The 13,694-nt window shown below is 49.4% G+C and overlaps 1 protein-coding gene, 1 long non-coding RNA gene and 1 pseudogene across 2 annotated transcripts in view, besides 4 other annotated features; 2 read left to right on the top strand and 1 right to left on the bottom strand.

The window, feature by feature from the left end:
• Positions 1 to 4,209: 4,209 nt before the first annotated feature.
• On the bottom strand, positions 4,210 to 6,872 carry DAGARR (differentiation and growth arrest related lncRNA). Its single transcript, XR_007096044.1, has 2 exons — positions 6,760 to 6,872; positions 4,210 to 6,412 (listed from the first exon to the last, which is right to left on the bottom strand). It is a non-coding gene; the product is annotated as a differentiation and growth arrest related lncRNA (long non-coding RNA).
• Positions 9,845 to 9,979, top strand: RNA5SP137 (RNA, 5S ribosomal pseudogene 137; annotated as a pseudogene).
• Positions 11,723 to 11,772: an enhancer, noted in NCBI's record as "active region_20409". NCBI's record gives its function as "activates an Ori minimal core promoter by ATAC-STARR-seq in GM12878 lymphoblastoid cells {active_cell/tissue: GM12878}" and the evidence as "EXISTENCE:reporter gene assay evidence [ECO:0000049][PMID:35858748]".
• Positions 12,023 to 12,402: a silencer, noted in NCBI's record as "silent region_14660". NCBI's record gives its function as "represses an Ori minimal core promoter by ATAC-STARR-seq in GM12878 lymphoblastoid cells {active_cell/tissue: GM12878}" and the evidence as "EXISTENCE:reporter gene assay evidence [ECO:0000049][PMID:35858748]".
• The window catches only part of HEG1 (heart development protein with EGF like domains 1), a 90,288-nt gene continuing 88,879 nt past the window's right edge, over positions 12,286 to 13,694 (top strand). Inside the window, exon 1 of the mRNA NM_020733.2 lies at positions 12,286 to 12,708. Within this exon, the coding sequence (NP_065784.1) occupies positions 12,393 to 12,708 (316 nt within the window). The 5' untranslated portion in view covers positions 12,286 to 12,392. The remainder of the gene's footprint in view (positions 12,709 to 13,694) is intronic.
• Positions 12,483 to 12,572: a silencer, noted in NCBI's record as "silent region_14659". NCBI's record gives its function as "represses an Ori minimal core promoter by ATAC-STARR-seq in GM12878 lymphoblastoid cells {active_cell/tissue: GM12878}" and the evidence as "EXISTENCE:reporter gene assay evidence [ECO:0000049][PMID:35858748]".
• Positions 12,633 to 12,792: a silencer, noted in NCBI's record as "silent region_14658". NCBI's record gives its function as "represses an Ori minimal core promoter by ATAC-STARR-seq in GM12878 lymphoblastoid cells {active_cell/tissue: GM12878}" and the evidence as "EXISTENCE:reporter gene assay evidence [ECO:0000049][PMID:35858748]".

The following is a 13,694-nucleotide window of genomic DNA, read 5'->3' as shown; positions in this document are numbered from 1 at the left end:
CCTGGGGAACATTTTCTCAGACATCTCTACCTCTATTAAGAAATGCCTGCCCTAGTCAGGCGTGGTGGCTCACACCTGTAATCACAGCACTTTGGGAGGCCGAAGCAGGCGGATCACTTGAGGCCAGGAGTTCGAGACCAGCCTGGCCAACATGTCAAAACCCCATCTCTATTAAAAATCCAAAAATTAGCCAGACTTGGTGGTGCGTTGGTAATCCCAGCTACTTGGGTGGCTGAGGCACGAGAATTGCTGGAGCCCAGAAGGCGGAGGTTGCAGTGAGCCAGATCACACTGCTGCACTCCAGCCTGGGCAACAGAGTGAGGCCCCGTCTCCAAAAAAAAAAAAAAAAAAAAAAAGACATGCCTGTCCTCTCTAAAGGCAAACTCTTCCCCTCTGTTGGACGCCATGCTCCTGTGCCTTACGGACCATCTCCTCAGCGACTCCTGTTTCCCCCTCCTTTCTCCGGTCTCTACCCACACACGGGCCAGTCCTGGCAAATACGCTGGTACCTGATCTGCCAGGTGCCACCCCTGTTCTTTCCTTCTCCTGCGGAGTGCCTGGTGTATATAGTTTGTATCTGGATATTCCACTTTCTCTCCTTATATTTTCCCCCTTCACCTTCTACAATCCGGCTTCTGTCCTTCTGCTAGCCTTTTGGACACATCTCCGTGTGGATGTCTTGGAGTTAAACAAAATTTAAGTCATCTACCCAGCGTCCTCAGTCTTTGCTATTCCTGTGTTATCTATCCTGTTGCCTCAAATTAGTCACTGTGGAGCCATCTTCACCTCTCCCTCTTTCTTTATCTCTGTTCTGTTACCAAATTCCATTGCCTTTTAAGGAGATCTCTCTTGGGTTTCTCCCTTCCTCATTCCCACTGTCAATTCCTTGGTCCAGCCCATCATCACCTTACATCTGAATCACTACTGTGGCTTCTAACTGGTCTACCTTCCTCTCTCTTTTCTGACCTGTCCCCTCTGTCTCATTGTTCAAATACTGAGAGCTCAGATAAAATCCAGGCCCTTGGCGTTTACCTTCCCCATTCTTTCCAGCCTCCTGTCCGCCTCTCCCAATATTCCCTGAGCACACCTGGTCCCCACAGGACTCAGCACCCGTGTAGTACTCTGTCTTTCATGTATAATGTTCTCCTCTGTTTTCTTTGCTTGGGAAACTCCTAAACATCTCTCAGGACAGAGTTCTAATATCTCTAAGAATGCTTTCTCTAGCAACTCTCAATGTCCTTAGAGCACTTGGTTCATACTTATGTGAAATAACTTCCCTTACATTACACATATTTATGGATCCATTTTTTCTCCTAATCTGTTGGCTGGACAAGGGCAGGCACTACATACATCTTCTTCATCTTTGGATAGCCAGAGTAGGTGCTCACTAAATGTTTCTTCTAAACGTTTTATTTTAGATTCAGGGAGCACATGTGCCGGTTTGTTACATAGGTATATTATGTGATGCTGAGGTTTGGGCTTCTTGGGATCTCATTGCCCAACTAGTGAGCATAGTACCTGAGAGGTAGTTTTTCAACCCTGGCCCTCTCCCTTCAATAAATATTTCTTGAGTGACCCTTTGATCATGTCCCTCTACTGCTGAAAGCCTACACTGAGTCTCTATCTCCTAGTGCAGTAAGTTTCAGTTTCAGGTGTGGCCGCACATTAGACCCACTTGGGAAGCCTTGGAAGAACACTGATGTCCGGGCCCCACAGCCATCGATTGTGATGGAGTAGGGGGGTTCCAGGCACTGGCATTTTGTGAAAGCTCCCCTGGCATGGGTGATGTCCAGCCAGGGCTGAGAATCACCGGTTTCATGTAGTTTTCAAGGCTCTCATTCATTTCCCCGTCTCCCCAGGAGGCTCTCAGGAGCTCTTGCCTCAGAACCCCTCTCACATGTTGCTCATCCTCAGAGCCCCCTCGCACTGTAGACCCTTCCTCACTCATATCACTCTCCGTCATTCAGGCTATACTTCCCCCCTCACCCAGGTGGGAGTGCCCCAAGGGCAGGGAGCCTGTAGCTTTGTATCCCCAGAGCACTGAGGACAGGGCTGCCAGTGTGGTGGGTGCTCACAAAGAATCTGTGGGCTGGCTGCTCGAGGTCTCCCCTTGTAGAAACCATCCGGGTGAGGCCTGAGGAAACAACACATTTCACGGCATGAGCCTCAGGACACAAGGTTTGTTTTGGGTGGATGGGGAGGAAGAACTTGGGTGGGAGGGTGCCCTGCCTATCTTCACCAGTGTGTGGACTCCAACAGCCCGCATAAACTAACAGATGATCCATGCTGGCGGAGAGTGAAGAGTCTTAGATTGGCTCTGATGGTCAGCAGACATGGAGTCCTGTCTCCTGCCCACTCTCGTCAGATCCTTGCTATATGAGGTTGGGCAGTGTAAGGTAGAGGATGGGGCACTGGCTGGTGTCTGAAGACAGGTCCAGACCTGGCCTTCTGTGCATCCTCTGTGCATCCTCTGTGGGTTTTTCCTCTGTGGGTTTTTCCTCTGTGCATCCTCGGTGCATCCTCGGTGGGGTTTTCTGTTGCTCATCTAGACCAGGAGCCCCCAACTAATGCGAGCCACCTGGAAGGGGAAAAACATGGCACAGGCCACATGTTCCCACTTGCTCATGTGAAATATAGACCTTTGGAGATTGGACATTTTGAGACATTTCTCTTTTGTGGCCCACAGTGGATCAGGGATTCGGGAGCTCTCATGTCTAATGAAAGTCAAAAGTTCAAAATTTTAAAACAGATAAGAGCATCACATTGTTGCTGTTAATTTTTTCTTTAATAAGAGAAATAAATACATTATTATTATTATTTAACAGGGTCTTGCTGTGTTGCCCAGGCTGGAGTGCAGTTGCATGATCATGGCTCACTGTAACCTTGAACTCTTGGACTCAAGCGATCCTGCCTCAGCCTCCAAAGTAGCTGAGACTACAGGTGCATGCCACCATGCCTGACTAATTTTTATTTCATTTTAGTTTTGTAGAGACAGGGTCTCACTATGTTTCCCAGGCTAGTCTTGAACTCCCGGGCTCTAGCAATCCTCTTGCTTAAGCCTCCCAAAGCATTAGGATTATAGGCATGAGTCACCACACCTGGTCATTATTTTTTGCATGACACCTTAAAAATTTTTTTCCTCATATCCATCATCTCATTTGATTGTTACAGTTACCCTGTGAGGTAGTAATGCCTACCAATGACAGGCATTACCGTTCATATTTTACAGATAAGAAAACTGAGACTCACTGAGGTTAACTGATTGGCCTAAAGTTGTAGAACTAGAGAATAGAGAAGCCAGAAGGAAGACTCGTGTTCTGTCTCGTACTCCAGAGCCCTTTTATGAAAACATCCCACTTGGCCATCCCCATCTTTCCAAATGGAAATAGTTTTCTTTGTTCTTTCCTGATTATAACAGTAATACATGCCATCAAAAGACACATACATGAATTTTAACAGCAGCCTATTTGTAACAGCTGCAAATGGAAACTACCCTAATACCTATTAACAACTGAAGAGAAATTGCGGGATAGCCCCACAATGGCCACCACCTCACAAAGACAATGAAGAGTCCATGCCTACATGCAACAAAGAGCGTGAAGTCCTGAACAGTAGAAGCTAGACACAAACTAATCCATATGACTGCATTTCACTTCCATAACATACAAAACCAGGGATTTGGTCTTTTATCAAAGACAGGAGTCCATGCTGAGAGAAGTGAGGGCAGTGGTGACGCATGTGGGGGAGAATATTGAAAGGCAACATAAGCAAGTTTTAGTCCAAGATGTGGCTACACAAGTGTGTTCAGTGAGTGAGATTCTTGGAGCTCTGCATGGCATTTCATGGGCACTTTTTCACGGGCATTGATATGGTTTGGCTTTGTCCCCACCCAAATCTCTTCTTGAATGGTAGCTCTCATAATCCCCATGTGTCATGGGAGGGACCTGGTGGGAGGTAATTGAATCATGGGGGTGGGTTTTTCCATGCTGTTCTCATGATAGTGAGTAAGTCTCACGAGAGCTGATGGTTTTATAAAGGGCAGTTCGCCTGCACACACTCTCTTGCCTGCGGCCATGTAAGATGTGACTTTGCTTCTCCTTTGCCTTCTGCCATGAATGTGAGGCCTCCCTAGCCATGTGGAACGGTGAGTTCATTAAACCTCTTTTTCTTTATAAATTACCCAGTCTCATGAACTTCTTCACAGCAGGATGAAAATGGACTAATATAGGCATCGTATTTTAATAAACAGTTTTAAAGAATTACACATACTCTTATAAGAAATTCAGACAACACTAAAGAATACAAACATTTTTCAATCAATTTTAGAACTAAACACCAGAGAATGTGAAAGTCTATTCCACCAACCTAAGAAAAATGTATCTAGTTCTGTATCAACAGTCACTTAAGGAGAAGAAACAGAAGAGGGAAGGAGAAAAAAATGGGGATGAATTGATTGGAAGTAAGGCAGACTGATGGAGAGGTAGAGGAGTGGCTAGGCTGGGAAGCACTTGGTGACACAAAGGGAGACTTGAAGAATAGAGACTGAGAGACCCAGAAACAGACTCAAGAAGAGATACCTGCGAACAGAGAGTGACAGCAGAAAAGCCAACAGAATGAGGGCCCAGGGGGCTGGAGAGGAAGAAGAACACATCCAGACTCACAGAGGGAGTGAGGTAGAGAGGCGTGTGGATATTGCACCCGACTGTCAACCTGGACTGTGTGGGGAGAGGAAATCATTGCTGCTTTTTGAAAGTCAGGGGAGCTTTGCAGTCATGTGGAAACACTGCATTTCCAGTGACTCCATCAGAGCCTGGCGCTTGGGACATGTTCAGCAAATATTTGTTGAGTGAGTGACTGATGAACAGATGATTGAAAACTCAGGTCCCTCTGCCCACAATGGGAGCTCCACCTCTAGACTTTCTGCTCCTTCCCTGGGGCCCTGGACACTCTGCCCAATGTTGTGGCATCCCAGGAATTTCCCTGCTTGCTGTGGGGAGGATGTTTCACACTGGAAGGTTTTGCAAAATAGGACTGCTTTATCAGAATCCTGTTGCACCGGAGAATGTTCCTGGCTCATTGATGTTTACAGTGTGTAACCACTTTTATCAAAGGAATGTTGTTTGGAATGGAATGGTCCTCTCAGATGGGCAGACAAGAAACGGAAGGTCATTTGAGGACCTGCCCCAAGCTGTGTTAAGTTGGAGCTCCGGGTTGCTGTGTATGATGTTTGGGAGCCTGGCCAGCCCATGAGCAACCCTTCCTCCCTGGAGGAGGTTCCAGCCAGTTTTCAGAGGAATTGCAGTGTTTACATTCTCACCTTGGACCTGCAAGGCAAACACCCCCGGAGCTCAGCACTGGTGGGTGGAGAAGCAGCAAGGGCTCCCTATGCCCGGGGTCCAGCAAAGAGGTCAATGCAGCCTGGACAAAATGACACTGGTCCTGACATTCCAGAAAGGAGAGAATAAGGCTTCTTCTGGGGGGTTAAAAATAGGGAGATGGGTTTATTCCTTTCGTTCTTTGGTGAAAATCCCAATGCACCTGCTTCTTGGAGCTCTGAACAAAATAGTGCAGATGTAGCCCATGTGCCATGGAGGGCTGGAATTCTGCTCTTCTGTGACATCTCTGGTGCTGTGGGGCCAGCTCTGCAGCTCCTGTCTTCAAGAGTTCTTCATGTACCTTGGGGCAGAGAAAGGGACTGAATGGGAGGCAGAGATGGAGGCTGAGGCAGGAAGGGAGGAAGAGTCAAGAGAGGTCACAAGGTTCTGTTCTTGTGGGAGGGAAACCTGCCCTGCAGCAGGAGAGGGCTGGGGTGCCCCAGCTCTGCCCAAGGATGCCGGTCAGCAGAGAGGAGCAAGTGGGAGAGCAGCTGATGCCGCAGCATACTCTCACTATTGGTTTATCTTCACCAGTCCCCATGGGCCCGTGACAGCGCTGGGCATGCTCGGACATTTCTCTCCCTCTCTACAACCATTTCTAAATGTCTTAATGATAATGGATAGAATTATGTCTCCCCAAAAGATATGTTCAAGCCCTAACTTCTGGTATCTGTGAATGTGACCTTATTTGAAAATAGCGTCTTTGCAGATGTGAATAAAATAAGATCAGACTGGATTATAAGGGGTCCTAAATCCAGTAACAGCGTCTTTCTAAGAAGACCATGTGAAGACAGACACACACAGTGGGAAGAAGACCACATGATGATTGAGGCAGGGGCTACAAGCCAAGGAACAGCAAGCATTGCCAACCACCGCCAAAGCTAGGAAGAGGCAAGGAAGAGCTCTCTCCTGGAGCCTTCAGAGGGAGCATGGTTCCGCTGACATCTTGATTTCAGAATTCCAGCCTCCACAACAGTGACAGGATACATTTCTGTTGTTTTAGGCCACCCAGTTTGTGGGACTTTGTTACAGCAGCTCTAGGAAAAGAATACATTGGTGTTTCTCAAAATTTCAAATCCCTCAGGCCCGCCCCTACATTCCCTCCACTCACAGCAAGTAGCCTCTCTTACAAGTCAAGTCCCCTACTTTACCAAGAAAACTGAAGTCCCCAGAGGGAAGTCCAGGCCCTGCAGTGCCCCACGCTCTCCTCTTTTCCTCCTCCCAGGCCAGTCTGTCCACCTGGGCTACGGAGTCCATCCCCTCCTGCTTCTCAGAAACCTTATCCCATCACCTTTGACTTTCTCCCTCCCACACAGACCATTTTCACGTCCAAATGTTCCCCCTAAAAACAAGAACTCCCCTCTACTCATTCCCCTGTACTTACTGTCCCAGCTCACTCTCCCCCTTCAGAGCCAAACTCTCTTGAAAAGTTATCTCCACCAGCTCGGCTTCCTCAGCTCTCGCTCCTCCCACTGTTCTCCATGTGGATTCTGCTCTGAACACTCCTCTGAAGTCACTTTTGTTATGATCACCAGTGACTTCTATGTTGCTAAAACGAATGGCTATTTTCAGTCTTCACCTCACTTGACCTTTCGGCAGGATTGCACACTGTGAGCCAGGATCTCCTTCCCTTTGCTGGGGTGATGTAACCTTCTCCTGGGTTTTCTCCTATCTCTCAGTGGCTCCTTTCCAGTCTTTTTTCTGGCTCAGCCTCCTCTCCCAGCCATTTCATGTTGTGTCCCCCAGGACTCATTTTCAGCCTGTCTTCTCTGACTATGATACTCTCTTCCCTACTTAATTCCATCCCCTTGTACTCCAAACCTTAAACTTGGACCTCTCCCTTCAGTTCCAAGTCTGCAGATTCAAATAGTTCTTGTCCACCGTTCCCTCTCCTTGTGAATGGTACCACCATCCATCCAACCCATGCAAACCAGAAACCTGAGAAACCTTGCCACTCTCTCTCTCTCCCTCATCCTCCATGTCCATCAACATGTCTGGTGGATTTTACCTACTGCAATCTCTCACATCCATATTCTCCTCTGAATTCACTTCTATTACTCTTATCCAAGAATTATCACTTCCCACCTGGACTCCAAGAGTCCGGGCATGAGTTCTTGTTTCTTTCTAAATTATTCCTCTTATTATAGTTAGAATGATGATTTCCAATCCCAAATCATGTCACCCCTCGCCCCTTAACTCCTCCTCCTCCTCCTCCACCTTCACTGTACTCTACCTTCTCTACTTAACACTTTATAATGACTTCCTTAAACTCTTAAAATAAATAAAAAATCCTTAAAATGAGCTGTTAGGTCTCCCTGATTTAGTTCCTATCAAAGTCTCCAGGCTTACCTCCTTCCATGCTCTTCCTCACTCTCTACCTCAGCCACAATGGCTCTCTTCCAGTCCTTTCCATGCATCCCACTTCCTCCTGCCTCAGGTGCTTTGCATATACTCTCCCCACTCTGCTTCGCCTGGTTAACAGCCTACACAGCTTTCGGATCAGGGCTCAATTTCATGTCCACAGGGAAACCCAGCACACCCTCCTGAGTGCTCTCCTTCGAGCACTTACACATGACAAGTTTACATTTATACTCTTAATTACTGTCTGTCTCCTCCAAACCCTTAAGCTCTACGATGTCACAGACTTGCCCAGCACTCAGCACAGTGCTGGGCACAGTGTAGTCACTCAGTAAATATTTGTTGAATGACTAAATAAAAGAAAGTCTTATGTTGGATTTTGAGGATATAAAGATGAATAAAGCACAGAGCATCCCAGAAAGCACCTTGTAGATTGAGAGTGGGAGGGGACAAGCAGATGAGAGGATGAGTAAACAGACTCAGGGTTTAATAGGGTGATGAGCAGATAACAGAGAAGCCGGCCAGATGCCCCAGTGGAGACAGTGATCTGTGGGCCCAGCCTACCTGTCCCTAGGTGAAACTCAATCCAGGGGTCTATTAACTGATCTGTCAGCCCTCAGGGACCCGTAGTCACCAGAGTCCTGAGTGTCCGTAGGATATTACTGCTGTGCATCTGGCACTGCATCCCAGCCATGGCAATGCCAACCCACGTGAAATCCTGCACAGGCACCATCCTCAGGAACTGGGCACACCGTGGGGCCAGGTTAGAATGCAGTGTTATAAAAGGCTCTGGCTACAATAAGGGCATCATGCAGAGCACTTTAGTCAGAAGAGTTCCTGGTGCCTTCTGGTCAGTGATCTCATCATATCCTCAGGACAACCCCAAGAGGCAGCAGAGGGAAATGATTTTTCTCCCCGCTAGGCAGCTAAGGAGACAGATCAATAGAGATCACCTGACTTGGCCAAGAAATGAGAATCGCTTTGGAACAGAACTTAGAGAGAACCCAAGGTCCTCTCTGTCAAGTCTACCAGTCAGACCAATCAGCAGAGGAGGCCTCCTCAAGCTGCAGGTCTGCTGTGGCAGGAACCTGCACAGTTTGTTCACTTTGGTGTGGAAGGACATTTCATGGCCCCTTCACACCACTGAATGTTAGATTAGATGGGCCTTGAGAGATCATTTGATTCAACACCCTCATAAAGAAGGAAACTGAGACCAAAAGATGAATCTTTTTACTCTCCCTTTCTTTCCCTGCCCTACTGATATCTAGAGGTAGGGCAGAGATGGTTAGCGGTCTACCCAAATCCCTTCTCCCCTTCTTTGCCTGTATGGTTAGACTACATTTCCCAGCCCCCTGTGCAGTTGGGTGAGCCATGTGACCATGCTCTCTCCAGTGGAATGTAAGAGGAGATGAGGCACTTCCAGACCGGGCCCACCAAAACCTCCTCTGCTCACACCACCACATTCTTTTCACCTCTGGCTGACTGGGATGCCAATTCCCAGAGCAACTTTGGAAGCCATACTAGAGTATGGCAGAACCACCATAACGTGGATGCATAATGTGGATTCTTGTTCCTTTAACAGCCTTAGACACTGATGTTCAGCTCAATGGACAGCTTCTTCACACAGCCTACTGAGCTGAACATCGGTGTCTAAGGCTGTTAAGGTAACAAGAATGAAACACATGGTGCTAAGCTGCTGCATCTGGGTGGCCTATTTGTTACTATAGCCTAGCCTAGTCTGATTAACACAAGTAGAGGCAGGAAACCCCTGGCGAAAGCTCTGACTACATCAAGTTTCAGGTGGCAAAGACACTGGGCTCCCTGCTGATTTCACTGTCAATTACATTGGGGTGCCCCCACTCCTACCTGTGGAGAGGTTAGGAATGCCTGTTAACTCACTCAGTCCTGGAATTTGTTCTGGGCTGTCTTCCCACCTGTTTTATCCTAGATCAACAGATTCCCAGGGCTGGAATGGGTCTGAGAAGTCGTCTGATTTATGACCCTGGCTCCAGATAGGACCTCTCAAGCTATCTGAGATGATCAAGAATCTTGTCTGGATTTTCATATCCCTGGGAAGAAAACACTACAAATGTTCTTAGATAACTGTTTTAGTCTATGGCTGTACCACCCTAAAAGTGCCTGATATTTTCTGATCTCAGAAACTAAGCAGGCTTGAGTCTGGTTAGTACTTGGATGGGAGATACCTATTTCATACCTCCTTGCTACTGTGCCAGAAGTTCTTTACTGAACTCTAAAACATCAGAGCTAGAACACTCCTTAGCAATCATCCAGGACCATCTTTGTTTTAGAGATTGGAAACTATGGCCCAATCACACAATTAAACAGTGGTAAAGGCCAGAAAAGAAGCAAGGGCTCTAGGACCAAGTCAACTGTTCTTTCCAAGGTTCTATACTGCATCCAGTTCTCTCTTGCTGTCTTGCTGTTTTCTCTTGTTCTGCCTTAGGAGGAGAAGAAAAAGAGCTGAAATCCATCTACACCTTGATCAATCTTTCCAAGTTCTCCCTGTGTGTCCCTCTCCTAATCTGCTTGTTAAGCCCTTTCTAGCTGACAGTTACCCTGAACTCGGTCATTTCTCTTAGAAGGCAGAGAGAAGATTAGAGAGAGATAAACCTGTGGTACTTAAAGTGGGGTGGGATTGGGGGGTGGGGGAGGATTGGGGGGAGGTGGCAGGTACATGTTTACTCCTTGGGTCTTAGTAGAGAAGGCAGATTATCTCATAGGATCCCTGAATCCACACGAGAAGCCTGTAAGGGCCATTCTACCCTTAAACCTTTCCACTTGCCTGGGAGTGCAACCAGTACTATGTGACATGGTCTCCTTGGAGGGGAGGGAGTGGCAGTGACCAGAACCTCTGAGCACAGTCCTAGTCTGTTGGGGCTTGTCTGGCTGGGTCTGGGCAGCTGTGCAGTCCTGCCTGTTAATGTGAGAGCAGCATCCAGAGAAGTTAAGCTCAGGCCATGGGAGCAAACCAAGTCAGTTTCAGGGAGATTACTGTTTGGTACTTTCTTGGAGAGACCTGGAAGTTCTGTGTTAGAGCCCTGGAAAGCTGGTTTGTTTAAAAACAAAACAAAATAAAACCAAATCTTTACTCCTCATTCTCTCATTTAAGGTGAGTTTGTTTATACACAGCCTCCTTTATGTTTTTCTGCCAAATGACTCACTTGTACTGAGTCACCAGAAAGTGGGCCTAGGCCCATCTGCAGCTGCCCTGGACACTACGATCTCATTCTCCTGGAGGTGGGTCATGGAGATCTGGAGACAGAGAAAAAGAGAAGAGCAGAGAAATAGGATGGAGAGCCAGGCCTGACAGTGAGGTGCATACTCATATTTTCACGAGCATTTGGTTGTCAGACAGGGGCCCCCAACAGAACTCGCAAGAACCCCAAGGAGCTGCAACATTTGTTTCTGTTGCAATACTATTTGTTTCCGTTTGCGAATTATTGCAAACTCTGAATTAGGAGACCAGAATTAATAATATCACATGGTCATTCACAGATCAATCATTTCGTCTTCGGGTCTACCTTCAGAATCTTGAGCAAGTTATTTTCCCATTTGAGCCCCTCTTTCTTCACTTAATGAGGTGGCTTACAGTCCTAAACTTTAGACAGTTTATTATTCATTTACTGGGGAGGGAGAGGTTATGGAAACAAATGGAACTTTATTGACCAAGAAAATTTGTTTACATGAAATCTTTGAATCTTTCCCCATAGGTTTCCATTTAAAATTCTGTGTTCTCTGGGCATCATTTGGTTTAATTTGCGATCTGCAGTTCTTTTCCTGATGATGAGTTTGCCCTAGCCTGCCTGAATTCACAGTTTTCTTTTCCCTGCAGCCTGTTTGGGTGTCCTCGCGGTGACATCTCTGCAGAACTCTGGTGTGAGCCAAAGGCAGTGGTCGGATGGGAACGGCATCCAAGCTTGAGAGGGCGTGGGGGATACTCGGATTCTCGCGTTGGCCGGAGGGTGAGGTGTTAGGTTTGGCAAACACGAGCTCATCACCAGCCCTGGGGCCTGAAGAAGGGGAGGTGGGGGTGGGAGTGGGGACACTTCAAATCAATAACGGCGGTGACAGCGCGGGCTGGGTACCAGGGGACCGTTCCCTTTCTCTCTCCTATCAAAGCACTTGGGATAATCTAGTCTGGTGCTAATCACATTACCCAGGACCTGCTTTTCACCTACTTCTTGTGCGTTTAAGGAGTTGGGTAGGTGGTGCCCGATTCAGAAGACTCTGGAGCATGTGTGTGACAAAAGTTGCAGCACCGTGGCTCCGCTGACCTCATCCCGCTGTCCCGGGCCGGGCCGCTCTCCAGGCGCCCGGCCCCAGCCCCCTTCCTGCCCTCTCCCCGCCTCCGGGCCCGCCGCGCGGGGCCGGTGATGTCAACTGAGGAGGAGCCGCCCGCCAGCCAGCGACCCGCCCGGGCTAATTAGCATGTAGCGGCGCCGCGGGCCGCCTCCGCCCAGCCAGCCCGGCCCCCGGCAGCCCTCCCGCGGCTCCCGATAACTTTTGAGGCGGGGAGCGCGCTCGCAGCCTCACTCCGCTCACTTCCCCGGCCCCGCGCGGCCCCCGCCGCCCGCTGCCCGCTGCCCGCTGCCCTCGCCCCGCGCGCCGGGCATGTGAGCGCGGGCGGGCGCCGTCACCATGGCCTCGCCGCGCGCCTCGCGGTGGCCGCCGCCGCTCCTGCTGCTGTTGCTGCCGCTGCTGCTGCTGCCGCCGGCGGCCCCCGGGACGCGGGACCCGCCGCCTTCCCCGGCTCGCCGCGCGCTGAGCCTGGCGCCCCTCGCGGGAGCGGGGCTGGAGCTGCAGCTGGAGCGCCGCCCGGAGCGCGAGCCGCCGCCCACGCCGCCCCGGGAGCGCCGCGGGCCCGCGACCCCCGGCCCCAGCTACAGGGCCCCTGAGCCAGGCGCCGCGACACAGCGGGGACCCTCCGGCCGGGCCCCCAGAGGCGGGAGCGCGGGTGAGTGAGAGCCGGGAACCTGGCGCCTGGCCAGTCTGTGCTGGGGGCGTGGGCGCGCCCCGGGCTGCATCCCCAGCCGTAGGCCCCTCCGCGCGGCGCGACCCAGGGTGGGGGCTCCTCGCCCGGCGTGTGCGGGACCCTGAGGGTCGGCGGGTAGGGAGGGACGCTTTCGCAGTTGGCTGGACTGAGGGGTGTGACTATCCCGTTCTCCTCCAACCCTTTGGAAGAAAACTTATTTCCTATGGGGTACCCTGTATCTCTTCCACCCCACTTTAAAAAAAATGGAAAGGAAAGGGAAAAAGACTGCAAAGCATCTCTCCCACCTCCGATATCTGGCCAGCCGGTCCCCAGTTTCATTTTTTCCGCTATACAGAACTGGCCTCTCCAGGTACAGGGCTCGACTTTCTCATCTAAATAACTGATTTTTAAGGGGTTCTAGGACGGGATATTGTAAAGGACAAAGGATGTACGTAGTTTGAAACAAAACGCTCTACTGGTTCGACTTAAAAGCAAAGGAACGCGGTTGGGGTTGCATGGTTGAACCCCTGCAAGGCACAGGCTGATACAGGACCATCCCTGAGCCTCCTCCCTCCCCTTTCCTTTCCCAATGAACTGTTGCTCCGTGGTAGCCACCGCCTGTCCCACGCAGAGAGAAGGAACTGACCTCTTCTCCCTGCTACCTTTGTGTCCAGTTCTTTCTTATGATCTGGAAAAATATGCCACATACTGAGTGGAATTCTAACCATAATACCATTATGACCTTGGGACTGCTGTCTCTTTGCGCTCACTTTCTCCATCTGTGAAATGAAAGTGATGATCCCTGTTCCTTCTAGCCTCCTAGTGATGATGTGACAAAATGAAAGTAAAAATAAATGGAAAGTGCTTTGAACAAAGTCAGCAACGTGGTGGTGTTAGCCTTTGCCTTCCTGTGAGTGACACAGGGCATATGCTCTGTCCGGGCTATTCAAATAAGCTGGGTTGCTTGC

The sequence above is a fragment of the Homo sapiens genome, chromosome 3 (genome assembly GCF_000001405.40).
Source record: "Homo sapiens chromosome 3, GRCh38.p14 Primary Assembly".
NCBI lineage: Eukaryota > Metazoa > Chordata > Mammalia > Primates > Hominidae > Homo > Homo sapiens.
The sequence above is the reverse complement of the archived record's forward strand: the minus strand, read 5'-3'. Positions and strand labels throughout refer to the sequence as shown.